This window comes from Homo sapiens, chromosome 10, assembly GCF_000001405.40.
Source record: "Homo sapiens chromosome 10, GRCh38.p14 Primary Assembly".
Taxonomy (NCBI): domain Eukaryota; kingdom Metazoa; phylum Chordata; class Mammalia; order Primates; family Hominidae; genus Homo; species Homo sapiens.
In genome coordinates, this window is record NC_000010.11 from 24356591 (window position 1) to 24384454 (window position 27864).

At 42.6% G+C, this 27864-nt stretch overlaps 1 protein-coding gene across 30 annotated transcripts in view, besides 6 other annotated features; it reads left to right on the forward strand.

Moving 5' to 3' along the window:
- KIAA1217 overlaps positions 1-27864 on the forward strand; it is an 853117-nt gene that overhangs the window by 661864 nt on the left and 163389 nt on the right. For all 30 annotated transcript variants that reach the window (NM_001098500.3, NM_019590.5, XM_047425513.1 and 27 more), the window contains one exon: positions 24279-24477. In NM_001098500.3, the coding sequence (NP_001091970.1) occupies positions 24279-24477 (199 nt within the window). The remainder of the gene's footprint in view (positions 1-24278; positions 24478-27864) is intronic.
- Positions 3919-3998: an enhancer, noted in NCBI's record as "active region_3155". NCBI's record gives its function as "activates an Ori minimal core promoter by ATAC-STARR-seq in GM12878 lymphoblastoid cells {active_cell/tissue: GM12878}" and the evidence as "EXISTENCE:reporter gene assay evidence [ECO:0000049][PMID:35858748]".
- Positions 4029-4088: an enhancer, noted in NCBI's record as "active region_3156". NCBI's record gives its function as "activates an Ori minimal core promoter by ATAC-STARR-seq in GM12878 lymphoblastoid cells {active_cell/tissue: GM12878}" and the evidence as "EXISTENCE:reporter gene assay evidence [ECO:0000049][PMID:35858748]".
- Positions 24353-24549: a silencer, noted in NCBI's record as "fragment chr10:24669872-24670068 (GRCh37/hg19 assembly coordinates)". NCBI's record gives its function as "represses an EF-1alpha promoter that drives an FKBP-Casp9 reporter gene in an ReSE screen in K562 erythroleukemia cells {active_cell/tissue: K562}" and the evidence as "EXISTENCE:reporter gene assay evidence [ECO:0000049][PMID:32094911]".
- Positions 26458-27657: an enhancer, noted in NCBI's record as "P300/CBP strongly-dependent group 1 enhancer chr10:24671977-24673176 (GRCh37/hg19 assembly coordinates)". NCBI's record gives its function as "activates an origin of replication core promoter dependent on BRD2, BRD4, P300/CBP, MED14 and CDK7 cofactors, with strong dependence on P300/CBP, by STARR-seq in HCT116 cells {active_cell/tissue: HCT116}" and the evidence as "EXISTENCE:reporter gene assay evidence [ECO:0000049][PMID:35650434]".
- Positions 26755-26834: an enhancer, noted in NCBI's record as "active region_3157". NCBI's record gives its function as "activates an Ori minimal core promoter by ATAC-STARR-seq in GM12878 lymphoblastoid cells {active_cell/tissue: GM12878}" and the evidence as "EXISTENCE:reporter gene assay evidence [ECO:0000049][PMID:35858748]".
- Positions 26985-27144: an enhancer, noted in NCBI's record as "active region_3158". NCBI's record gives its function as "activates an Ori minimal core promoter by ATAC-STARR-seq in GM12878 lymphoblastoid cells {active_cell/tissue: GM12878}" and the evidence as "EXISTENCE:reporter gene assay evidence [ECO:0000049][PMID:35858748]".

Genomic DNA, 27864 nt, shown 5'->3' on the forward strand with positions numbered 1-27864 from the left:
TAAGAGGTGACTAGGTCATGAGGCACAACCCACAGGAATGAATTAATTCTGTTATCTTGGAAGCACGTTCCTAAGAAAAGAATAAGTTTGGGCCCCCTCCTCTGTCACTCACACACATGCTCCCTTGCCCTTCCACAATTCCACCATGGGATGACACAGCAAGAAGGCCCTCGCCAGATGCTGGCATCTTGATATTGGACTTCCAGCATCCAGAACCATGAGGAATGAATTTATTTTCTTTATAAATTACCCAGACTGTGGTATTCTGTTATAGCAACATGATACGGACTAAAACAGAGGCCATCTGTGTCTAAAGCAACTTAAAGCTAAAATTTGCCAAAAAGGTTTAATCCAAGTCTTCATTTTAATGCATAAGGAAATTAAGGGCCAGATAAATGCCTAAGTTACAATGAGTTTGAGGCAGGGCCTGGGCTAAGAATTGGTCTCAGACTCTCAGCCCAGTGCTCTCCAGATCATTGAGCCTTACCTCTCCCTCATAGAGTGGCAAGATAAGATGCCCCACTCGTACCACGGCCAGCCATTATGGAAACTTTCAGGGTAGACCTTGTATGAAGGCCAGCCCCTGCCCACTGTAGGTAGAGGAAGACAAGACACTCAGAAGCATCCCTCAGCTGGCTGCCTGGGCCTGGAGTAGTACGAATCACCTTGCTTTGGATGCAAGCTGGTCAGAATCTGTGAGTTTCTACACTCTGGGCCTGTTTCCTATGGAAGAAAAGGGAGAATCAGAAGTGCATTCTGGACTAGCTTCAATAAATCATCTTATGTCTTATCCCACCTCTTTTCCCTATTAAAATTCTTACCTTTGGCCGGGCCCAAGCTTGAGAAGGCCACTCCTAAAGCAAGGCCCCTTTGGACTAGGGCCTGGGCAAGAGTTAACTGGCACCTGCTATGCCAGCACAAAGCTTAATTCCCCTGCAGCAGCACACCCGCAGGCAGCTATTGAAGCAAGGATGGAATGTCTTACAATACAAAGCCTTTGTAATAATGAGAGGGAAATAGAAACCAGAGGTTTGCAAGCTCTTTTTTTCTTGGGGGGTTCTGAGTATTTTTGTTTAACTTAAGTTTCGTGTTCCAAGGAAGGGGCGTTTTAGTGAAAATTGTGAAGGGAAACCCTGCCAAACAGAAATTCCTTATAGGATGAGTATTTTCCTCCTTTCAAGGTGTGAGAGCGACCAAGAAGCAATAACGCATAGGGGAGTCGGGGTGATAGATTGGAATGCTCTTGGCTGGAGTGTGATTGGTGTCTGGAAGTGAGTCCCAGCAGGTTGGCTGGTGAGGCCATGTGAGCATTGGGCCTGTTCCAGGGCTGTGAAGTGTGCAGGCTTGCTTGAGGCTGTAGGCACCACTGCCTGAGCCATGCACGTAAACTCCCCAGACCCTAAGAGTAGTTTACTGTCAGGGGGTAAGCCCCCAAATCAAGCAAGCTGCACAGAGCCAAGACTCCCAAGAACCAATGCCTTCTTCCAGCCTTTCATTCATTCATTCTGTAAGTGAAAACTCAGCGTGGATGTGGATGAAGATATTCATGCCTTTGTGATCATTACATTTCAGTGTGTGGGTGCAAGGGGAAGGAGACAGATAAGAAGTGAGCAAATAAGTAAAGTATCTAGTGTGTCTAGGGGTTTTAAATGTTATGGAGGCAAAAATAAGCAGAGTTCTCAAGGAACTGGTCATCCCGATGTCCATGGGCTGCACTTGGTTGGGGCAGTTCTAAGAGTATCTGTCACACTTGCAGAGACGACCTGGGTCAACTCTTCCCAGGCACTTTGTAGAACACCGGGCAGGGATACTTCAATTTCACTCTTTGTTAACTGGGAATGTGGAGGCTTAGGAAAGAACTCTGAGATTTGTGAATGTGATACCAGTCCTCCTATAGTTAACCAATGTGTTTGTTCATTCTCATACACTCTTGCATTTGTATGAGAATATTAACTATTTCAAAGCTCTCATAAATCTATTGCATCATTTTAGTCTTATATCAAAGTAGGAAGGGTGGATATTGAGACACAAAATTGAAGATCAATGACTGTGCTGTGGCATGGGTTGTCCAGTCAGGACAGTGGCCATACACAGTGGTTGGCCATAGTGAAAACTGGCTGAATAGTCACCCTGTATATGACAGGTTTGCTTTGCAATTTGTTTTTTGTTTGTTTATTTTTTGCATTGCAATGGCAAGGTCATAGAAATAATCTTGTCACCCTTCAAACTCACTACTTTGAAAGCCAGCACTCCATTGTATGCATATATATACACATACACACACAAAGTGTACTTGTTTTGTTTTTTTAAAAATCAGTCTCCTTACTTTGACCCATGAGAACAGGAGCACACAGGAGTTCAGACATATCCATTGGCCACATAGTACCTGAGATCTGTGAATGAGATCACAGTCGTCCTATAGTTAGCCAATGTGTTTGTTCATTCTAATACTTTCTTTCTTTCTTTTTTCTTTTCTTTTCTTTCTTTCTTTCTTTTTTTTTTTTTTTTTGTTTTTTTGAGATAGAGTCTCACTCTGTCACCCAGGCTGGAGTGCAGTGGTGCTATCTTGGCTCACTGCAACCTCCACCTCCTAAGCTCAAGTGATTCTCGTGCCTCAGCCTCCCAAGTAGCTGGGACTACAGGCGTGTGCCACAAAACCCAATTAATTTTTTGTGTGTTTTTTGTAAATACGGAGTCTCAGCATGTTGGCCAGGCTGGTCTCCAACTCCTGGCCTCAAGTGATCTGCCCGCCTCGGCCTCCCAAAGTGTCGGGATTACAGGCATGAGCCACCATGCCTGACTTAGCTTTCATTTGATGAGAATATTAATTATTTCAAATTGCTCATAAATCTGCATTACTGTATGTCAGATATTGGCTTTAGCATTTTTCTCAAGTTATTTCATACAACAAAGTATAATATAAACATCATTATTACTATGTCATGAATGAAGAAAGTGTACATGAAACATGCCTAAGGTAATATGCCCAAAGTCTCACAGATAGTAAGTGTTGAAAATGAAGCTTACGCCCAGTTCTTTCTCTTTCCAGAAATTATACTTTCAACCACTATCCTATATTCACTATAGGATTACTTTAGATTCTAAGATTCCTTAGGAAATTAGAAATTCTTAGAATTAGAAGCTGTTGGGATATCACCCTGAACTCTTTTTTGTTAAATGTTGCTGCTTTTTAGTTTATTTACCCTTGAAGGTCTTTGAGGCTTTATATTTTATTATTGTTATATCAACTATAATTCTTAGTGTGACTTATAAAGTCTCACAAGGCTACGTAATTTTATTCCATCTTTAAGTATTTTAAACAGTTAGAAAAGGAATTATATTACAATTAGATTTCTCAATTTAGTAGCTCTTTTTTTTTAACCCAAATAATCAGAAATTACTTTGCTCCCCCAGTTACTGACAGACTGTGTATCTTTAGGATATAATTACTTTTTTTTTTTTTTTTTTTTTTTTGAGACAGACTCTTACTCTGTCGCCCAGGCCGGAGTACAGTGGCACAATCTGGGATCACTGCAACCTCTACCTCCCGGGTTCAAGCGATTCTTGTGCCTCAGCTTCCCGAGTAGCTGGGATTACAGGCACACGCCACCATACCCGGCTAATTCTTTGTACTTTTAGTAGAGATGGGGTTTCACCATGTTGGCCAGGCTGGTCTTGAACTCCTGACCTCAAGTGATCCACCCACCTTTGCCTCCCAAAGTGCTGGGATCCTGTCACGCCCGGCCAAGATAGAATTACTTTCAAGACTATTTCCCAACGTTTGGTCTTGTTATATTCTTTAGTTTTGTGTCATGAGGCTACTAATTTTTTATTCCTCAGTGGTAACTTTATGAAATCTCTTAGACTTGCAGCAATCAAGCCTCTCCCTTCTATCGTGGGCTTTAACTATGCAAGCAGTCAGCCCATTACAGTTTTTTCACAGACTGGTTACATTCAGCCCGAGTTTGAACCAGGGCCATTTGGGGGCATTTGGAGAGGATGAAGATGGACCAAAAGCAATCAGTTGACCTGTGTCTTGTTTCCTCTTGAATTTGGGATTTCAGCTGCCTCCTTTGATTATGCTGGAGACTGTATCATACTCGCTAGGTTCAGGGCACCCCCTTGTGGTGCAACTCGAAACGTAATCAACGTGAGGAAACAGAATGATGGCCAAATGACGAGGAATGAAGAGGCCACGCATGTAGATATGATTTTATTGTTCTTCCCATTTTTAAAACTCTCAAATCAAATCTCCTGTTTTTCTCCTGTTGTTTCAAATTTATCAGTAGTTATTTCAATGCTAAGTGGTTTTTTTTTTTTGGAGGTAGAAACAAATCAGAAAAGCAAGCACAAATAATTTAATGCTACATCTCGGGAGTTTTTAAAAAAATTTTATTACAAAAGTAACCATGGATATTCTAGGAATGTTAGAAATAATAGACTAAGAGTAGGAGAATTATTTACAATCCCATGACCCACATAGAATACTTGTGTTAATATTTTGGTGTATATCCTTCTCCTATTTTTTTCTAGGCACATAGACTCAAAGGAAAGAAACCACATGCCACAAGCACATGCCATTTTTTTTTCTTATTTATGTTATTTTATTTTTTGAGACAGGGTCTAACACTGTCACCCCGGGCTGGAGTGTAGTGGCGCAATCACAGGTCACTGAAGCCTCAACCTACTCAGGCTCAGGTAATCCTCCCACCTCAGCCTCCCAAGTAGTTGGTACTGCAGGCAGACGCCACCATGCCTGGCGAATTTTTGTATTATTTGTAGAGATGAGGTTGCAACATGTTGCGCAGGCTGGCCTTGAGCTCCTAGGCTCAAGCGATCTTCCCACCTTGGCCTCCCAAAGTGCTGAATTTACAGGTGTGAGCCACAGTGCCCAGCCCATTGTTTTCTAATATGATTTTATCCACTTAATTATATGTGTGAACTTCTTTCCCTCCTGTTACATGATAGCTACTTCATCATTGCATGTGGTTGCCTGGTTTTGTTGGTTCCACTGTGTGTGGGCAAATACCATATCATGCAGGGCCTCCTTGTAGATAACTGTAGATTATTTTCTTGGGTTCTTTATTAGAAATAGAATGGCTGGGCCAGGGGCGATGGCTCACGCCTGTAATCCCAGCCCTTTGGGAGGCCGAGGCGGGAAGATCACGAGGTCAGGAGATCGAGACCATCCGGGCTAACATGGTGAAACCCCGTCTCTACTAAAAATACAAAAAATTAGCCAGGCGTGGTGGCGGGCGCCTGTAGTCCCAGCTACTCGGAAGGCTGAGGCAGGAGAATGGCGTGAACCAGGGAGGCGGAGCTTGCAGGTTCGGGCCACTGCAAGATCGGGCCACTGCACTCCAGCCTGGGCGACACAGCGAGACTCTGTCTCAAAAAAAAAAAAAAAAAAAAAAGAAAGAAAGAAAAAGAAATAGAATGGCTGTATCAAAAAGATATGCAAAATTGTCTTCTTGTTCATTTGTTAAAATAGAGCATCTTTTTGAGAATGCAATTTTTTTTAAATCTGCAAGTTCCTAACATTTGCATCCTTAGTCTGTGTTAGGAATTGTGTACAGTGTTTCACATGCCTGGATCTCACTTCATCCTCCCAGCAACCTATTATGATCCATTGCCACACCAACTTGCTGATGAGGAAAGTGGGGCTTAAGGAAATTAAAGAGCTGTTGTGGGACTTCCAAAGCAGAAGACAGTAGGCTTTCAGAAATTTGATAAAAATAGCACTTTGCATTTCTTGAATCTTGAGCTAAATGGAAATTAATACTAAACATTCTCCACTGGTAAAATAGAGAATAAGGATATTAACAGTAAAAGAAAAGAAGAAGAAAAGGAAATGTGCTTCCACAGATTTAGAAACATAAGTAACAATCTAAGTTAAGGCTTTGGCGATTAGATCTTCATGTTGGAAGATATGCTGGATGGCTCAGTGATTTGCTGTGCAATTACAAACCCGAGACAATTTGTAATACAAAGAGCTTTTCATGAGATCTTACATTTTTTTATGAATATATTTTCGTTTACCATGGTTAGTCTCCTAACTGGTTAAATTGCTTCCAGAGAGTCAAAATTTGACTCTATGTAAAGTGACATCAGAAAGTCTCTAATTTCTGGGCCGGGCGCGGTGGCTCACGCCTATAATCCCAGCACTTTGAGAGGCCAGGGTAGGCAGATCACTTGAGGCCCGGAGTTCGATACCAGCCTGGCCAGCATGGCAAAACCCTATCTCTACTAAAAATACAAAAATTAGCCAGGCAGAGGTTACAGTGAGCTGAGATCATGCCACTGCACTCCAGCCTGGGTGACAGAGTGAAACTGTCTCAAATTTAATTAAAAAAAAAGAAGAAGAAGAAAAGAAAATCTTTAATTTGTGAACAAAAGTGGAACTTTGGGTGAGTGCTTAAATTTTAGCAGCCTCCAGAGTTTCCTGATGTTACTCCCTAGAGATCAACAATTCACTTTTTCCCTCCTTTACTGATACTTTTCTTTGTGCCTTGTTATAGAATTATATTTATTATAGAAAACCCTGAAATAGACATAGCAAAAGAAATAAAATAAATATCGCTTGTCATTCAGACCGTTTGAAGTACTGTACGTGTGTCATTCATTTCTGGTTCTCTCCACTACATTTGCTCATTGTGTGGTTACCCAATATTTATTATTCTTGAGCAATTCTTCTCAGACTCATCAGCATTAGGAAAGAAACTCTGAACCCCTTTCCCTTCCTGCCACATTTAGCCTTTCAAAGAGATCTCAAGTGCCATTTAGTACAACAACAATGTCTGAAGTTTCTTTTTGCCATTTTCTTATGATAGCTGATGAATTTATTAGGAGTCTCTGAAATAATAAATGCTCTTCTGTTTAATTTTTACAGTATTATTATTTTTGCCATTCCTTGAGGTAGTTGAGTCTTCCTGTTTTCTCAGTAACATTCCTTTAGTTTTTTGTGGGTTTTGTTTTTGTTTTTTTTTTTTTTTGAAACAGGGTCTTACTCTGTTGACCGAGCTGGAGTGCAGCGTGCAGTGGCACAATCTCAGTTCACTGCACCCTCCACCTCCTGGGCTCAAGCAGTCCTCCCACCTTAGCCTCCCAAGTAGCTGAGACTTCAGGCGTGTGCCACTATGCCCAGCTAATTTTTGTATTTTTTGTAGAGATGGAGTCTCATTGTGTTGCCCAAGCTGGTTTTGCACACCTGACCTCAAGCACTCAGCCCACCTTAGCCTCCCAAAATGCTAGGATTACAGGCATGGGCCACCGCACCAGGCCCATTCTTTTAATCTTGATCTAACCTCTTTATATGTGATAAACTACTGATTATCATTAGCATAGATAATCCAGAAGTTCACTGAAAACACTCAACTCTGGTCTCATCCACTTTTTTTTTTTTTTTGAGACAGTGTTTTGCTCTTGTCGCCCAGGCTAGGGTGCAATGGCGCAGTCTTGGCTCGCCGCAACCTCCGCCTCCCAGGTTCAAGTCATTCTTCTGCCTCAGCCTCCTGAGTAGCTGAGATTACAGGCGCCCACCACCACGCCCAGCTAATTTTTGTATTTTTAGTAAAGATGGGGTTTTGCCATGTTGGCCAGGCTGGTCTCGAACTCCTGAGCTCAGGTGATCCACCCGCCTCAGCCTCCCAAAGTGCTGGGATTACAGGCGTGAGCCACCGCACCCAGCCACCCGCTCTTATTTTTTAAGAACAATTTTCTATCGTATAGTCAAAGCCGTAAATCAAGCTTGTAAATGCTCCACGTTGATTTAGCAGGTATATGTGAGAGGCCTAATAAAATCCAGTTTTCTTTTTTATTGCTCTTATTGTTGGGCTCAAAACTTTCCACACAGATGGAACCTACTGAGAAGCGAAAAAAGGTTCTCAGTGAGGTTCATTTTGTAATCCTGAGAAAACTTATGTGTGATTATAGGATCCTGAGGCCTAAAGTTCGTGAGCTTATTCCATTGCATCTTCTGAGAAGGGCTTCCTACGTCTCCAGCATCCCGGGGCCTTCCCTGCTCTGATGGTGGGAGATTCTTCCAGCTTCTAGGTTTCCGTGACCTTAGTTAGCAAAGGCAGGAAAAGATGTAACAGGTAGACTAGGGGTTTGCTCCACAGTTCGGAGGCTTTGAGCAATTGTGTGTTTCTCTTGCCTGCCTGCCTTCCTTCCTTTCTTTCTTTCTTTTTTCTTCCTTTCTTTTTTTTTTGTTTTGTTTTGACAGTGTTTCTCTCTGTTGCCCAAGCTGGAGTACGTTGGTGTGATCATAGCTCACTGTACTCACTGCACCCTCGACCTCCTGAGGTCAAGCAGTCCTCCCCCCTCAGCCCCCTCGGTAGCTAGGACTACAGGCACTTGTCACCACACCAAGCTAAATTTTTTCTTTCATCTTTTGTGGTAATGGGAGTCTCCCTATGTTGGCCAGGCTGGTCTTGAACTCCTGGCCTCAAGCGATCCTCCTGTCTCAGCCTCCCAAAGTGCTGGGGTTACAGGAGTGAGCCACCTCACCCATCCTCCCCTACTTTCTTGACTTTCAGATGATATTTGTCTAAAGCAATGGCTGTAGCGACTTTCCTTGCCCCCGTTTCTCCATATTTCATTTTCTTTGTTGTAAGTTCCTCTGATGAGGGTCACCTAGCAGAGAGTGGTTGAGGTCTCTTTGTCCCTCCTGGCAGACTCACTGGGACTCCGGTCTCTTCCATTACCACTTTCCATTCCTGGTCCTCTCTGAAGGGCTGTGGTTGTCCTGGTTCTCCTCCCGCAGCCGGTGTTACTTATCATCGCTCTGTGATTTTCTGTGCTTTTTTTTTGTCCCCCTTTTCCCTGTCCATAGCAGCTCTTCAAATCTATCATCCTGTTTTTATCTTACACTTTTATTTACCATGCATCTGCAGGGCTTTATTATTTGTGGTCTACTTCAGGGTATTTCTTTCACAGTTGATGAAGCCTGTAAACTTCAGAGCAGAGAATCAGAGGGCCCTAAGCAACCCTCACCTTTCTGGTGAGAATATATTCACCTAGAAAAGGGCTTTTATGAGGTCACTTTAGCTAATTGTTTTTCTAATAGTGTCACTCCCTTTTTCTCTTCAAGGTCTCTTCAAGTTCTTTTATTTATTTATTTATTTTTTTAACCCCTATGTGCATCTTGGGTAGAATATTTTAGTACAGTTTTTGTCTGGAGACCTGTTGTTTGGCTTTTTGGCTTTCGAGTGTAGCCATCTGTGTTCAAGTGTTCTTTTTCTTCTAGTGGAAATTTGTGTCTGATGTGTGGGACTAAGTTCTAAGTAATATACACACATATATATAATCTATACACAATGGTGATATGGATCATGGATATTGTATAATTCAATCATGACGGTACTTAGAGGCTCCTATATGTTACTAGTCCTTATGGATATGTGTATATGCGTGTGCAGTAAGATATGCAGCTATGGCACCCCACTGGCAGATATTGGGCACAAGAGGAAGTCACTCTTCTTGCATGAGGATTATAGAAATTTTCATTTTTTAAGTCACAAAAAAATATTTCACTGCCATGTTTTTTTAAAAAGTTAAGTTGCTCAAAAATGAGTCGGATGCAGTGGCTCACAAATGTAATTCCAGCACTTTGGGAGGCCGAAGCAGGCAGATCACTTGAGGTTAGGAGTTTGAGACCAGCCTGGCCAACATGGTTAAACCCCATCTCTACTAAATATACAAAAATTAGCCAGCTTTGGTGGTGGGCGCCTGTAATCCCAGCTACTCCGGAGGCTGAGGCAGGAGAATCGCTTTAACTCGGGAAGCAGAGGGTGCGGTGAGCTGAGATCACGCCACTGCACTCCAGCCTGGGCGACAAAGTGAGATTCTGTGTCAAAAACTAAAAATAAAAATAAAAATAAAGTCAGTGGCATCAATGAGAATTAAAATATTTAAATGCTTGCACAGTAAGCATTGTAAACCAAAGGCACACTCCAGGGTCCACCAGGTTCAAATATTAGAATTTGTGCCCTGAATTACAGTGTGGATCTTCTGTTCCTGCATGTATTCACCTTGGGTGTGCCCTCCTGCATGGCAAAGCATGGGCAGAGAGCACTGCACTCACAGGCCTGCTTTCGTGGAGCAATCTAGTGGCCAGTGAGCCCGGGGCCAGTGACAATCAAGATGGCAGCCTCAGACTGCATTCTGGCTAAGAAAGCTATTTCATTTGGGTTGGGCAGGCTCTAGTAAGTTCCCTGCAGCTCTGGGACAACCTCAGGGATGGTGGATTAATATGACACATTCTCCAATGATACAAGGTGAATTCAGAAGCGCCTATGGCAGGGTATTTTGGGGCAAACCCATTGCTAGTTAAGGCTTCAACATGTCTTTCTAAAATATAAGGATGGAACTGTCATCATTTTTCTTTCTTTTCGGGGAAGAGGAGTTAACCGTGCTACATTTTCATCATGAATAAATAGGTGGTCCATTTGGTCAACCTATTCTTTTTCTCTTCATGTTTTCACCCCTTTTCTTTCCTATTTTTTTCTTGTTTTCTCCTGGTCCACAGGCTTTGAAGGGCATGCTGATCTCTCTTCAGGCAGAACTTGACATTCAAAGGTACTTGATGAAAATTGAATCGTCTCAGCGAGTTAGTACTCTACCTGTTCTTTTTCTGCATCGAGTTGCACCCTCATCCTGCACCTTTCCCTCACCTGCAAGTGCCATTCTAATCAGTGTCAGCCACTAACGCCTGCACTTTTCGCTGTTTACCCCAATCCCTGATTCAAAACTATCAGAGCCAAGTGCTTGTAGCATTCTGAAATATGTGCATTTCTAAAAATTATGAGAGTCAGTATTAAAATGAACACTAATTGCATGCTTGCTTCGAAATATTTAATTTGCTTTCCACAGATTGGATTGTGGAATCAGCAGTAATGCAACCACAAGCTGGAGATCTTTGAATAATTGTTTGAAAAGTGGGCATCTCTAAGCAGAGATCCTATCCTTGCCAGCTTGCTCCAGCAGAATACTCATGGCAGTAAAACAGAAGCCTGAATCATTCTGACAATCCCAAAGCTATGTCATTCTGCTTTGCTCAGTTCCAATGTGTCCAATGTTGGGTCCAGATCATTTTACTTATATACATTTTAATAATGATCATAATGGAAATAAACACATTTCTTTAGAACTTATATACACCAGGCACTGTTCTAAGTGCCTTACAAGTATTAACTTCTCACAGCAACCCTGTGGGGGAGGTATACTATGATCCCCATTTTACAAATGAGGTGATTGAGGCACAGAGAAGTTAAGTAACTTGCCCAAGGTCACACAGCTAGGTAATGGTTGTGCTTAGGAAATGTTCGGCCATCTGGCTTTGTACAAAAGTGACCTCCTTCCCATTGGTCAGTCTTCAGTGACCATGCTTATCTCTTTACCTTCCCCTTCTTAATAATCAGTCTCATTGATCTCTTTTTAGGGTAACAAGCTCAATTTAGAAAGTTCCTGCCCAGACAAATAAACATTAAAGTTCAAGTTTAGACACTAAAGAGAATTTTCATGTCACACATCATCCCAATTCTGATGAGTGTTTATCCTTAATTTTATTCTTAATCATTTTCACATTCCTAAAATTCATGCAAAATAGAGGCATCTTTATTATTTCCGTGCGCATGTATTGTGCACTAAGTTAAAATGCAGAAAGGGAAAAGAAGGGCATAGTGAGCTCTTCCCTACAACTTCACACCCTGCCATTAACCTTTATTCCTACTTTCAGAATAGAGATTTGACATTGCCCAGTGGGATTTTCCCATCATAAGTAGTACTGAGTTTGGGATTCCCTCCCGCTATTCTTTTTTTCTTCTGCTTGAAACAAATAAATCTTCAGTACTGACTTTCCTTTTCTTTCTTTTTTTTTCCATATCAGCAAATAATTGGATATCTGAAATTTTTCTTGAAGTGCTTTTTTGGCATTTACAAGCATTTTAAATTATAATGCTGTTTTTCAGAGATGGAATAGGATGAAGGTTAAGGTTGGAAATCGAAGGTGATCTTCCCCCTTTAGTGAATGAGTAACTCTCAGATCCTCTCCAGATGTCAAATTCTGTTTTGAAATTGGATGTAACTATTTACCTATCTCACAAGACCAAGATGAAGGCATGGTGGATCCATTAAAGGTTTGTTTGTACCCTTCTCCTCTCACATAGGATCCCAGAAGCTACGGGACTTCCCAAGAACAGTAGGAAGCTGAGCCATCTAGAATCACCCTACTGAGAGTAACACCAGCTTACTACCTAAGGAAAGCTAAATGGTTGGCATCTTTTATAATTTACCAATTGCTGTCCCATGCAACATTTTTCCAATTACTTCTCACTTTATCAAGTAGATATTCTGATTATTTTATAAAAGTGAGAACCGAGGTTCAGAAAGGTTTCATATGGAGTTGCACCGTGAGTTCATGGCAGGATTGGAGTCTGCTTTTCATAAAATAACCTGATAAAAACAGTAAGTTCTCTCATTATAAATTTTGTCTTCTGTCCATCTCTTCAAACACTGGTATACTTTCCTAGAGCAGGACTAGAGGAAAATCAGAATCTTTGGTGCAGAAAGCTAGTTAGAACTTTCACTATGTGTGTGTGTGTGTGTGTGTGTGTGTGTGTGTGTGTGTTTTCATTTGAAAATCATTCCAGTGAAATTGGGCAGGTGGTAGTGGTGGTTGTTTTGGACTGGCGGGAGGGGGAATGTGTTTGAAATTAACAGTGAACGCTATTCCCAGGATGTATGGGGAGGGTCTGGCCATAAGCTCTGAGCCTTGGTGACCCCAGGAACCCACAAGAGTCCCTCTTGCCCAGTTCCCTGTGGCCTTCTCCACTGTGGGGTGATGAGGACATCATAAGCTCTCCCATGGCACAGCCCATACCCTCACTGAGGGTGAGGGCCTTTGCTAGCAAGGAAAGCCTCTTTGGTTTGGCAACAATGCAATTAAGTTTTAGGGGTACGATTCCGTGGCTTGGGATCCCACATCCTCTCCATAAAGCACTGAAGCCTAGGTTGCAGAGATGAGCTTAAAAATGGCTTTTGTTAAGAAGGCCTTCTAAGATGTGTACTTAGCACCATGTTTTGCTGGTTGTATTTTACTTGAGACTTCAAAGGCTACAAGCAGGTTTCTTTCCTTTTATCAGTATAATAACAGCAATCCTCACACAGACACCTTTTATCCTATAGCCTTTTAAAGTGCATTCCTGACTTTCTGAATTACAAAAGCATCTGCAGTCTTGCTCAGACCTCAACCAATGAGGATTTTGGCAGCCAAAGCCTGTTCAACATTTTACTTGTTGATAAGGCATTACTTTTCTTGTTTCAGAAAGAAAGGAGAGAAAGAATAAATTAATTGTTGTATTCAAGGCAACTTGCAATAAAAAGACATCTACCTGGCCGGGCGCGGCGGCTCACGCCTGTAATCCCAGCACTTTGGGAGGCCGAGGCAGGTAGATCACGAGGTCAGGAGATCGAGACCATCCTGGCTAACACGGTGAAACCCCATCTCTACTACAAATATAAAAACTTAGCCAGGCGTGATGGCGGGCGCCTGTAGTCCCAGCTACTCGGGAGGCTGAGGCAGGAGAATGGTGTGAACCCGGGAGGCGGAGCCTGCAGTGAGCCAAGATCACGCCACTGCACTCCAGCCTGGGCAACAGAGCGAGACTCTGTCTCAAAAAAAAAAAAAAAAAAAAAGACATCTACCCTAAGGTAGATACACTGAAAATCAAAAAGCAAAATCTCGTAAGAAGAGGAAGCAAATTTTAAAATATAGGTACTATGATTAGCTTGGACATTAAATTTACTTTCAAGCTTCCTGACATACATGATATTTTACATATGACAAGGTAATACTTATTAATCCTTCAGGAAGCAAAATCATATTCTTTGTTTCAAATTGTGAAAGAAACATTGTTCGTGCCTTTATAAAAGGTACACTGATCAGCATAGTAGGCAGGACCAACAAGTAAACAGCAGTATTCTTCATGTGGCTTTTGTTTTTTTAGAGACAGGATCTTGCTGTGTGACCCAGGCTGGAGTACAGTGGCATGATCACTGCATAGCTCACTGCAGCCTTGAACTGCCAGGTTCAAGGGATCCTCCCACCTCAGCCTCACGAGTAGCTGGGACTACAGGTGTGCACCACGACTCCTGGCTAATTTTCATGTTGGTTTTTTGTAGAGATGGGACGTTGCCGAGGTTGGTCTCAAACTCCTGGCTTCATTTATCCTCCTGCCTCAGCCTCTCAAAGTGCTGCAATTATAGGTGTAAGCCACCACACCTAGTCCAGGCTTTTAATTTTGTATCGGCAAAACGAAAAGAAGAAAACACATCACTGAATAAAAATTGCATGAACGTATTTCTGAAAGGGGTGAAAGTCTGAGTTAATGAGATCCAGACTTGGAACTTACCGATGATCTAATTTTCTAACTTGGTAGAAGGATGCTAAATGGAGATCATAGTTGAGCTAGGCTTTATTTTCTTTAAATAGCTTTTGTCTCATTCTGGCTTTGGGGAGGAGTCAGAGAGCAGTCAATCTGAGGTGGTATTTCAGTAGAGTTTATGTCATGTTACAGGTAGGCCACAAGGCAGACAGGTGGCAGGTTGATGTCTAATCCTGGAGTTGAAAAGGCCACCCTGCCTTCTGATCTGATAAGAACCCCTGTCTCCTCTGCAAGGCAACAGATTTAGCAGCTCCTCTAGGTGGAACCAAACCTCTTCAAGGGAAAAAAAAGAATACTGTATCATCTACAAACTATGAAGGGTTGAAAGGTGGAAAATATCTCTGGGATCATAGAAAATTGCTAAAATTCCAAATTTACCTAGAATCAAATTTTAAGAGCCTTTAAATTAAATTACTATAATGGTATCAGAACTACAGATGTGGAAGTCTGTCTCTTTAAAAGGTGGAATGCAATCTGCATGTCTGAAATTGATTTGATGGCCTTGGCGCTTTTCTTAACTGTATCGTTTTGTAGAATTGGAAGTTTTGTAAGAACTGGATTCTTGCCAAATATTGCATGGCATGAAAATGAAAACGTGTTTCCCTTCCCATGTTTTCCCCATGCATTTGTGTTGTCATTTCAGGGGCCATCTCTAATGACAAGTTCTTAAACCTAGAATCCAATCATACAGAATACACAAGAGAAGACAGGAATTGGGCATGAATACATTCAGGTCACCATAGACAGGAATCCTTCTGGATTCTAAATGTTTTATGGGAAAGTTCCCTTCCTCTGATCTATTCTTTAAAAATATCATGCCTATTTAGTAATTCTCTGATTTGTAAAAACAACATATTCTTATTTTGGAGAAATAAAGAAAGTGTGTCACTCTTATCCTAAGCAATCTAATGCAGAACAGAAAACCCAATGCAGCATGTTCTTACTTAATAAGTGAGAGCTAAACATTGGGTACACATGGGTATAAAGATGGCAATAATAGACACTGGGGACTCCTGGAGTGGGGAGGCAGGAGGAGAGCAAGGGTTGAAAACCCATTGAATACTACGCTTGTTACAAAAACACCGGGGGTTTGGTCGAGGTTCTGCTGCTCACCAAACAGAAAACCAATCACTGAGACAAGTATTGCCAAGGAAGAAGGCTTTGATCGGGTGCTGCAGCCAAGGAGACAGAAGCTCAGTCTCAACTCCATCTCCTTGACTGACTAGAACTAGGGGTTTATATAGCAGGAAAGAAACGTTAAGAACACATAAGAAAACAACAACTGAGAAGGCGCAAGGAAACAATCATGATGAATGAGGGGTGTGGCATCTGGTGTGGTGATCTGGTGCGTTTCAGTTCTTTGATACTTTTTTGAGAGTCCTAAAGGTGTTTCCTGAGGAAGGAACTCAGATAAAACAAATACTGGTTTCCAGCTTTGAGACCAGAACAATTTCTTGTTCAGTTTATCAAAAAAAATAATCTATGGGACTGTTGGGTCAGTTTCATGCTCACTGCCTGGGTGACGGGATCAATTGTACCCCAGACCTCAGCATTTTGCAATATACCCATGTAACAAACCTGCACGCCAAAATAAATCTAAATCTAAAATAAAAGGTGAAATTATTTAAAAAGAATGTTACCCGTAATCCCACCATCAAAAGAAAACTAATGCTCGCATTTGGCTCTATTGTGTCCAATTACTAAATTATACCCCAAAATTCCATTAAAACACCTTTATTATGATTGTGTAGTACTCTAGAGTACACAGACATTGTAATTTGTTAACCAGCCCTCCAAATTGTTTCAAGATTTACTTATTCTATTAAAGATGTAATATGTACAGATTTGCTTCCTGACACTCCAGTACAAGAACTACCACTTTTCTTAATTTTCCCAAATCAAACCAATCTATCCTGGCTTCAGCAATTATTGAGAAATTCATCCTCATCATATTAAGGGGAAGCATTTTCCCCTCACTTGGAGTCATAAGGAAATCTTGAGGAGCTTGTCCAATCCAATAAAACCAGGCCAGGGCCTCTGAGTCTCCTGGGACTTATAGTGAATTGCTTTCTGTGCAGCCTGTTTGCATCCAGGTTTATGGGGACCTTTGCCAAGTATCCTAAGTGTGAGCACCTGGTTCCACCCACTCTAAGCATGTCACACATCCATCTTCCCAGTTGTGGGTCACTTCTTGCAAATGGAATACAGGTCTTCCCAATTTGAAGAGCACCATCGCCACCACTGACACCAAAACTGCCACCCTCTTCTTGGCTCTGGGAAGTCATCCACTCCCCTCTTCCTGCGCAATTAGGAACTTCCTCCTTTCCCCTTCTGGAGGTAAGTCCAGACGTCTTTTCCAGATACCTTTACCTTCTAACCCCAATTTAGGGAGAGAGTCTTCAGAGTGGCCTCTGTAGCATGGGGATACCATTAACAACCCTTCCCTGTGGGAAGACCTTGGAACTTAAAGGCTTGGAAGTTTCCCAGGAGGTGATGGCTAGCAATAGAAGTTCCATAAATTTTTTGTTGTTTCTGACAACCACAAGGACAAGGTAAATTAACAATACCTCAGAAGATGAATCTGACACACAGATAATACTCTATGGAGAGTATTTGCATAGTGTGGTGCTTCTTTAAACAATGAGGAAGAGCCCTTTTCTGCACAGAGGTGTCCTTGTCATTTGTTTGTTTGCAGCTGTAGGAAGGCAGGGGGCTTTGCATGGTGACAATGGGTTGGCAGAGGGGTCCTGCCTGGCTCACTTCGCTCCACACAGAGGATGCCTCAGTGCAGGGATGACTGTGGCTGGCTCCATATGAGCTGCCCGTGGGCAGCGGGTAATGGGTATCACTGCCCTTTCATCTTTCCAATCTGATAATGAAATAATACACACAGAGAAGGAAAATGTGGAAACAAAAGATGCAGTTGTACTTTGCCCAACTGCTGAATCGTCTGATTTCCATCCAGAACAAATGCCATTCTGTTTTCACAGGTGAAAATCATGAATAACGTCTGGGTACTCTTTGGATGGAAAAGGGAGAAAAGTGTTGAAATATTAGCGTTGAAGAAACAGGATATAAACTGAGTGTATCAAGGATATTTCATCAAAATAAATCCTAGAGAAAATGCTTCCCCTTTATCTAAGTCAGGGAAGAGAAATACTAATTATCAGACCTCAACTTAAGCTAGGAGAAACGTGAGAATCTCAGATATGCACCGTTGGAAGTTGGCATTAAAATGTGGTTAGTGAATATAGATCTATCTTATTGTAAGGCCCAGAAGTTCCTGGTTACTAGTCATCCTGGCAAGTATCCACAAACTGCTCACATCCAGCATCCAGATGTCCACTAAACACTCGATTTTGTGTGTGTGTATATTGTACTGTAGATTAACAGCAGGACCCTCTAGCGCCTGCACCCAAGGTTTCTATTAAAAACAAAAGCTGCTGATTTATTCTCCTCTACCACCATTTCTCTGAGTCTTTAATGCCAGACCCACCCCAAAATTGCAAGATCATAATAAAACTAACTACAGTTCTCTTCTCCATTTGTGTTGCAGTTCTCACATCCACCCGTTGTATTTTAGAATCATGGGTGTCTCAGTCTATTACCCAGAGTGATCATAGTTGCAAGAATGGCACTGGGGAGATATCATTCAGATTTTGCTTTTCTGTCCATAAGCCACAGAAGCCGTGGGAAGTTGCCAAGAAGACATGCATAGCTAAGCCTTGCTGTTCTTTTTTTAAATTTTGTATTCTTCTGTTATTTTTTAGAGATGGGAGTCTTGTTCTTTCTCCCAGGCTGATGTGCAGTGGTGTCACCCTAGCTCACTGCAGCTTCAACCTCGGGCTCAAGCCATCCTCCTGCCTCAGCCTCCCCAGTGGCTGGAACTACACGTGTGCAGCACCACACCTGGCTAATTTTTTAATTTTTTGTAGAGACAGAGTCTCAACTAGGTTGCCCATGCTGGTCTTGAACTCCTGGGCTCAAGCAATCCACCTGCCTAGGCCTCCCAAAGTTCTGGGATTACAGGTGTGAGCCACTGTACCTGACCCCAGGGCTCGCTGTTCGAAATATACACCTGGCTGTTGGTCACAGGACTCACCAGAGAATGGCAGGTGGTGGCCAACTGGAGGAAGAAGGCCTCAGCTGATGCTGTCACCAGGGATGGGTTTATGTAAGGATGGGAGATAAGATAGAAGCCAGGTGTGCCCGATGGAGCTCCCTGTCTTCCTTCCCACCCTTAGTCCTCAACCCAGCATGGACATTAAAGACAGGAAACTAGAAGGAGAGCAGAAAATGGGAAAAAGGCAACTGCACTGTGGCTTGTAAAAAGGACTCTGTAAGCAAATTTAGAAGCGTAGAGCTTCCAAAGTGAGAGTTTATTAATTTTCCTTTGGAGTACCGTGAAGCAGGAATGGTAGAGAAAACCTAAATTCTGTGGATGATTTATTTGTTAATTTAATATTTTGTTCCTGGAATTTTTAATAAAAGTACCTAGCAACTAGAATGTTCTCTTCAACTGAAATCAGAATTTTGACTGGGTTTGAGTTGAAAGTTTCACAAGTGAAAGAAATGGGGCTAAAGTGTCTGAATGTCATGATTAAATTAACCATGTCCTTTAATGAGTGCTAGGAATGAGTCATTCCAAATACATTTGCATGTGGAAAACTTCATTGTATTTTCAAATGCCCTGTGGCAAATTGGGCATTAATTAGGATGAAGTAAAACTTCATCACGGCAATGTTGATTTTTCTTTTCACAATAGAACGTAATCTGAAGCAAAGTGAATACCTTGGCTAGCCAGACACCCCACTGTTCCTGGCAATTAACATATTACGTAAAGCTACATTTGCAGGTTCATTTTCTGGACCTCGGCATTTCAATTTAGGGTTTAAGGGTCTGAAAACGGGAATGAAAAATACATCATCAATACCTCTAGCTCTAACTTTCTTTTATCTTTGTTGTTATCTCCAAATCCAATAGCATTGCAAAGAATATGAATAAATCTGATCTCCCTCGCAGAACAGTGCACTTGGTGAACATTTCAGCAAATATTTGTTCATGATGTTAAAATGAAATCATGACCGTCTTTTAAAAATTAATGCTGTTCAACTATGTTGCATACACTTGAGGACATAAATGCGGAAAGCCAGATCTTAGCACTACCTAGCTACATATATCTATGGAGCAGGTGCTATAGGATAAATAATTCGAAGGAAATCTCAGTAAACTGTTTTTCTGGATGACATGATCTTTTCTTCTTATATGATGTGTACTTAGAGTTAGAAAGTTTTGGTCCTGCAAGGGATCTGAGACACCAACTAGCTCAACCTCTGGCCTTACAGATGAGATACCTGTGACTCAACGAGGTTATATGTGGACCAGTTTTTGGCAGAAGCTGAACTAGAACTAGCATTCCCAGACTCCTGGTTAAATAAAAATTTTAGGCAGGGTGCAGTGGCTCACACCTGTAATCCTAGCACTTTGGGAGACTGAGATGAAAGGATCGCTTAAGCTTAGGAGTTTGAGACCAGCCTGGGCAACAAAGTGAGACCTCGTCTACTACAAATTAAAACAATTAGCTGGGCATGATGGTACACACCTGTAGTCCCAGCTACTCAGGAGGCTGAGGTGGGAGGATCGCTTGAGCCTGGGAGATCGAGGCTGCAGTGAGCCATAATCTTACCACTGCACTCCAGCCTGGGCAATAGAGACCCTGTCTGACTGAATGAATGAATGAATGAATGACCAACCAACCAATCTTACCACTGGTGTCAACTCTGGAGTGCGCCACACGTGATCTTTGCTCCTTTCATTTGGTAGAGTTTCAGGGCAAGCTGCTTTTTCTATTTTCTCAGTGGTAATCAGTAGTGTGAGGTTACAGGGAAGGTTAAATTAGGTTACCACATGACAGTTACTTGATACAGAGCAGCAGGCACCTGTTATGTTGGGTCCTTTATTTCTTCCCTCATCCTTTCATTAGGAAGAGAATATTTCTATAGGGTCAATCACAGATGCAGAAGAGGAGAGAGCTGCATTGAGCCAATGACACCAGAATGTCTTCGTGACAGAGAGACCCCTTCGAAGAAGAGAAGAATAGAAAGGACAAGTGGGGTTCAGGTGGCCTGATTATACAGACCACCCCCTTCATGCATGACCCCAAAGGGCTTACCATTTGGGTTTGCGGGTTTGGGGTTGCCTAATGATTTGGGGAAGTCTTTACAAGGTTGTGATGGAAACAGAGGGAGATTGGTGTCATGGATCTCCATGGAGCAAGGAGGAAAATCCAGTCTTACAGACCCTTGAGTCCTGCTCACGTGGCTCAGAGAATATTCCCACCATCCCCTGCTTCCTCCTCAGTTAGGCATAGCTCTCCACTCAGCAGCTTAGGGTAGCAGCTTCAAACACCAAGCTGTAGGCCATGCATGACTGAGAAAAGTTTTCACCGGAGGCAAAATGAGAACACTAACTCCAACATAAAGAATTTTTCACTAGATCAAACCTGAAATTGTGTTTGCTTCCCCCTTTTTTGGTATTAAAGTATCTTTCCTTTCTTATGGTAAAAAAATGATACCACAGAGAGTAAGATTTCTTTAATGCCTCTTACTTTGCAAAATAAAATCAACATCCTTGTATTGTAACCCCTCATAAATTTGGGGGAAATATTTCTTTAGAAATTTTCATCTATGAAATATAAAATAATGGGAACTATGATTATGGAAATAAGCTCCAGAGAGTTTAGCTTTCTCCATGGTTCTTACTAATATGAATATGTGAGCATCCTAGCAGCTTAGCCAGGAGGAACCATTAGAATTGGTGTTGGTCAGCGGTGGTTTGCTTGTAAGGCACCGTTATCCCAAACTAGTGCAAGAACAAAAACTGAATTAATTGAAGGAATTCATTGGAAGGACCCCACAGTGTACTGGAAACAGAAAGTGGGAAGCCCAGGAGACCCCAGATGGCTGCTGTCTTATCTTTTGTGCTCTCTGAAGATCGTGGGGGTCTCACATCTCTGTTTTTTAATACAGATTCGCTTTATTTTTTTTCTCTGCACTTTTTTCTGTTTCACTTTTCCTGCCCACGTTAACCACAGCTTCAAGTTGAAAACTAAGTTGTTTCAAGTTCTCTGTAGACATTGACTAATAGATCCTCTGTCCCAGATCTAAATTTACAATTGAGAGTTTAATTGGACCAGCTAAGTTCAGGTAACTACTTCTTGACCCAATCAGGAAAGACATTTCCAGGGGCGAGAATTTGATTGATCCAGCTAAGATCAGGTGACTACTGTTCAGTCCAATCAGGAAAGACCAGGCTGGGAGTGGGTAGCCCTGTACTTTATTGCCCAGTTCAGAGCAACCCTCGCACCTCCCTCACCTACACTCTTCCTCCTCCCCTGATGCCCCTTTAAACTCAGCAGTTACTGCCCCAGACTCCTTCTGCACCCAGGGTGATGTGCCTCTTCATTCTTCCTGTCCATCTATTGCATATATATTATCTTTTGCCCCCATATAGACCTTACATGCTTGACGAGCTCAAGAACTTTTATCTCTGGTCCACTTTTACCCATGGTGCCTAGCACTGTTCCAAAATGCTATTTTGACTTTTTTTTTTTCCAGCATATCAGATCACAGGGTATCTGGCACAAGTGTCAGCAATTTCCATTGTCTTTTCTCTGAACTAAATGATGTCTCAGCAGCAAGCTGGCATCAGAGGGGAGGGTACTGCGTGTGAGGAGACTGCTAATATGTAGTGATCGTTTTCAGTGAGAACGTGAATAACAACAAAAAGAGGAGTTTACATTTGGAGCTAAATAGCTATGTTTAGGAAGTGAGGGGAGAAAAAATATATAGCCCTGCATCTCTGATTTTTCTACTTACCTACCACTACGATGACCCTGAACAAGAAACAGAGATTTGATTTTGATTTTCTTCAAGGATTATTACCTTCTGCAATGGAAAATGACAACTCATCAAATGTATGGTTTCTGCCGTGAGCTATAAAGATGACCAAAAGGCAGAGGTTATAAATGTAGCCATGTTGCTTAAAGTAATATTATTTCTTGGCTATCTTGCTAAACTGAATCTACCTTCTTTAAAAAAAAATGTCAGGAATGAGGACATCATACCTTGATATTCTGCTGAGCACAGTAAGGAGGAAGCTACTTCACTGAGGACCACGTGAATTTGTCTAAATCTTGGTGAACTGGGCAGTGATTTAGGGATAATTTTCCTGGTCAAATACTTGTAATGTGTGTCAAAGCCAGATCCCCATAACAGAAGCAGACTTTGTAAAAAATAAATCTAGGAATGCACCACTTTGGGGACTTGTACAGAAAAATTAACCAAAGGAGACAATTTCACTGTTAATGCATGTCCTTTCTGGTCATGATATTGGCATATCTTTGCTGAGTTTCCTGTAGAACACCCAGTCATCTCCTTGAAGCCACATCCCTTAAGAAACACAGGGCGGAAGGTACTGACCTTATCCCTGCTTTCCTCTATGGGAAGGTCCTGAGAGGCATGTAGGAAGGTGTGATTGTCTGGATAATGCAATTGGTTCTGTTGAGAGGGGTCGTCTTGTACTTTTAGCAAGAAGCTGCTCATCCCATTCTCAAAGGGTACTGCTAGAGTATCAGGCACACCTTGGGCATCCCTGAAACAAATCTGTAGCCCAAAACTCAAGGCAGGACTGGCTAAAGAATTGTCAGGGTACCTTGTTCAAAAATCATTAATAAGGCCGGGCATGGTAGCTCGCACCTTGGAATCCCAGCACTTTGGGAGGCTGAGGCAGGTGCATCACCTGAAGTCAGGAGTTTGAGACCACCCTAGCCAACGTGGCAAAACCCCATCTCTACTAAAAATACAAAAATTAGCTGGGCATGATGGTACATGCCTGTAATCCCAGCTACTTGGGAGGTTGAGGCAGGAGAATTGCTTGAACCCAGGAGGCAGAGGTTGAAGTGAGCCAAGATGGCACCACTGCACTCCAGTCTGAGCAACAAGAATGAAACGCCATCTCAGAAAAAATAAAATAAAATAAAAATCTCCCTTGCAATGTGAGTTTACTGATTGTGGAAACAGTCTTGGTATGAGACTCTGAAGGACCAGTTGTGTTCAATTTACTCTGGTATTAGTAGCTCATCCATCTAGGGTGCGTAGAAGAGTATACAGTCCCATCTGTTGTGAAAGCACTGTTAGAATTTGTCGGGCAAAAGGAATTGTTTTGCTGTCACTTTCTTATAATGTGGCTTGTCCTCAACTCCCTGTTCAAAATGCACCACATAAGTCAAACAATAAAAATCTTAATGGAGACCAGGTGCAGCGGGTCACGCCTATAATCCTAGCACTTTGGGAGGCCGAGGCAGGCGGATCACCTGAGGTCAGGAGTTCAAGAGTACTCAAAGTACTCAAAGCCTGGCCATCATGGTGAAACCCCATCTCTGCTAAAAAACACAAAAACTAGCCAGGCATGTTGGGGCACACCTGTAGTCCCAGTTATTCAGGAGGCTGAGGCACAAGAATTGCTTGAAAACCGGAGGTGGAGGTTGTAGTGAGCCGATCTCACACCACTGCACTCTGGCAATAAATAAATAAATAAATAAATAAATAAATAAATAAATACAATGGAACACTTAAGGGCAATGTTATTTTCCGGTAATTTTCACAACTGATACTTTGACCCACTGGGTCTTTAGTTTTCCCTATCTAACCCTTGTGATGGACTGTTACCCCTTGCCATATTATTTTTCCAGATTAATAGAAATGGCATTGGACATATTTTCCACACGATTAATAATAGTCTATTTTCCCACTTTCTTTAAAATGCCTTTTGCAGACAAGGAGCCCCAAACTGTCTCACAGTCCTCAACCACCCAGTCTGGGTGACCCGGTCGAGCATTTATCAGAGACGTCCGCTGATTCTTTGGAAGCCATGTCTGAGGGGGATGCTCCAACCCCTTTTTCCAGAGGCAGCCGGACTCGTGCGAGCCTTCCTGTGGTGAGGTCAACCAACCAGACGAAAGAAAGATCTCTGGGTAAGCTTTAGAAGGCAGTTTCTGATGCCCCTTTCTTACTGAATGCGTTTGTTGTTATACTACTGAACCTATACTCTTTCATTCAACATTAATTTGATCTTGATTTGCAAATACTCTAGTACTGGGAAACTTCATTGGTTTAATATCAAGCATTGAGGATTTGCCTGCTGGGTAATCAGGTCAAGTGCAAGCTGATTTTGAGGCTGGGCACTTTCAGAAGTGGTTGGGATTAGCAATTCAAGCCAAGAGGCTAGTAGTATTTTACCTATGTTCCTGCTACTATACAGCAGGAGTCCCCAGTCCCCAGGCCATGGACCAGTACCAGTCTGTGGCCTGTTAGGAAACAGACCACACAGCAAGAGGTGAGCAGAGGATGAGCAAGCATTACCGCCTGAGCTCCGCCTCCTGTCAGATCAGCTGTGGCATCCGCTTCTCATAGGAGCTGAACCCTATTATGAACTGCATGAGTGAGGGATCTAGGTTGCATGCTCCTTATGAGAATCTAACTAATGCCTGATGATCCGAGATGGAGCAGTTTCATTCCGAAACCATCTGCCATCCATGGAAAAACTGTCTTTCATGAAACCAGTCCCTGGTGCCAAAAAAAATTAGGGACCAGTGCTCTATAGGAAATTGTGAGGAACTGACCGTAGAATGATCCTCTTCTCACCTTGCAACCCTCCTCTCCAGTCCCAGAGGCCAGGACAGTTGGCATTTGTACCCAGTGGTGTGGGTTTCCACCAGCCCTGCTGCACCTGTCTGGTAGTCCAGTGGAGGAGATGACAAAAAGGGACAATGTGGCTAACATCTGCATGACTGTTCATAAGAACCATAAACACGAGGCTGTTCCCACTACCACGTGAAAGGATAGAGGGGCTTGGTGTGTGTAGGGCACAGCTTTTCTGAAAGGCAGAAGGATTCTTTTTATGATTTTACCACGTATCATTTCCTTTTTTTTTTTTTTGTATTGGAAGTTTACTTTCTATCTTGCTTTGCTTTTTTAATTGCTTTTTTTGGCGCTTTAACAAAATGGACAAGTCGTGAGGATTTAGACCTCTCTGTCAAGGGGGCAGATGTTTCTTATGCTTCATTGCCATGTTAAGGTTCTGATTTGGGTACTTGTGTTTGCAAACAGATGGGCTTGGGGATAAGAGGGGACAGGAAAAGAGTCAACATGCAAAAGCCTTCAGAGTCTAGCACGTGCAAAAGACAGCTGAACTCTGCCATGTAAAACTGAGCAAATGCCTTGCTGGGAGAAGAAAGAAAAAGATTGATGTGAGAGAAGGTACCCTGATTTTAGTTCCTTTGCTGCAGATAATGACCCAAGCAGACTGAATTCAGACATTGTCCTAGCTGTCCTAAAAAAAAACCCTACAACTTTGTTATTATTTGTATTATCAATATTAATATTTAACATTAAATTTTGTGTCAAATTAAATTTTGATCAAATTAAGATCAAATTAAAATTTGATCTTAGGTTAGTAATCTAGGATCCTCATTGTATAAATGAGAGAAGACCACAGAAAATGTGCTTTTTGTTTATGTGTGTGTTTGCTTGTTTGAGCTCACACACTTAATTAAGTGGCAGCAGTGGGAAGTCCAGGGCTCCAGTTCCCATTAACATGATCTTACAAATGAAGGGACAAGGACACACAGGGGAGGGACACACCCAAGGAGCATCATGGGCCAAGACAGTGTCAAGATGACACAGGCTTCCACACCGTCACCAGGCTGGGGCTTTCTGTGTGGATTCAAGAAATTTGTGGTTTTTCTTTTCTTTTTTTTTTTTTTTTTTCTTGAGACAGAGTTTTGCTCTGTCACCCAGGCTGGAGTGCAATGGCATGATCATGATTCACTACAGCCTCGACTTCCCACGTTCAAGGGATCCTCCCATCTCAGCCTTCAGAGTAGATGGGACTACAGGCACGCACCCAGGCGCCTGGCTAATTTTTTATTTTTTGTAGAGATGGGGTCTCACTATGTTGCCCAGGCTGGTCTGGAATTCCTGGACTCAAGTAATCCTCCCACCTTAACCTCACAAAATGCTGGGATTATAGGCATGAGCCAGCATGTCTGGCCTGAAACTTGTGCTTTCTTAACTCCACTCACACTTAGGAGCCAGGCAAGGAATGGGATTTCTCCTTTGTGCTTGGAGGAAATGAGCTCAGGTCTCTGTAAAGATAACCTCAGCTCTGCAAACCAAAACGAAGATAAGAATAAATGCCTGTCCGCCTTCCCCCATACCTGGGGGAACTTTGACTCTGTCGGATAATGGATCTTTTGTCTTAAAGGAAGGAATTTCCTCTGCAGCCAAGAACGGTTGGCAGTGCAGGTTGAGACTTGCTGGGTTCAGGAACCAAGCCTTGGGGCAGAGAGGCTGCAGGAGCTGGGGCCGGCTTGCCCAAGGAATGGCTGAGGGTGGCGGGTGTTTTCGCACGGGGTGGCCACGCTTCTGCAAATTGCTCCATTTTACTCAGCATCCTTTGCTGTAGAGTGCCGGTGTGCTGTCACAGCAGGCTGAAAAATGCATCTGACCTGTTTATTCTGCCCTCCCTGTGAGGGGCTTTTTGGCCTGCCATTTTTCACTACTCCTGGATAGAAACAAAGGAACACAGTAAGAGGAGAGGAGAGAAATGAGAAGTTTCTTGCCAAAGCCAAGGGAAGCTCTGGTTCCAGAAAATGAGGCTGGCACTGGGCCAGCTGGGTTGATGTTGCCCTTGACCGCCTCTTTGTGGCCGATTGGGGAATGTCCCCCCAGCCGCACCTGGCCCTTATGGCGTAATCCAGTTGAGCCTGGACGGGAAATAAAAAGGAAAATGTGACTCACAGCAAGTGCAAATGCAGTCTCCCTCCCAGGGGCCTTGCTCAGCTTAGTCTTTGGGAAACTCCCCGCCTGCCTGGCCTTATTTAACACACAGACGCACGGGTTCCTGGGATAAACAGTGCTCCCCAGAGAGCCCCGGCCATGAGCAGGGTGTCTACCAGCACCTGGGTGGCCCAGAAGCACAGCTGCAACTCCATGGGGCCTCAGATATGCCGACTGGATACTTTGAGCTGTAACCCCCCTGGAAACCCGCTGTTGATGCCATCTGGAAGCCCTGGGTGTCTTTTGGCATCTGTATGTTGTCACTTTATCTCAATCCATAGAGTTTTAAGTTCTCTCATGAAGCCCTGTTGATCTTGCCTTTATTTAAAATTTTGATGGTTTATCATGAATTTTTTTTATCATTTTATTTTTTAGGAGCAATTTTTTAGGTTTGTAACAAGATCGAGCAGAAAGTACAGACAGTTCCCATACACCCTTGGCCTCCACGCATGAACAGCCTCCCCCATGATCAGCATACCCTACTAGAGTGGTACGTTTGTTACGATCAATGAAATGAGACC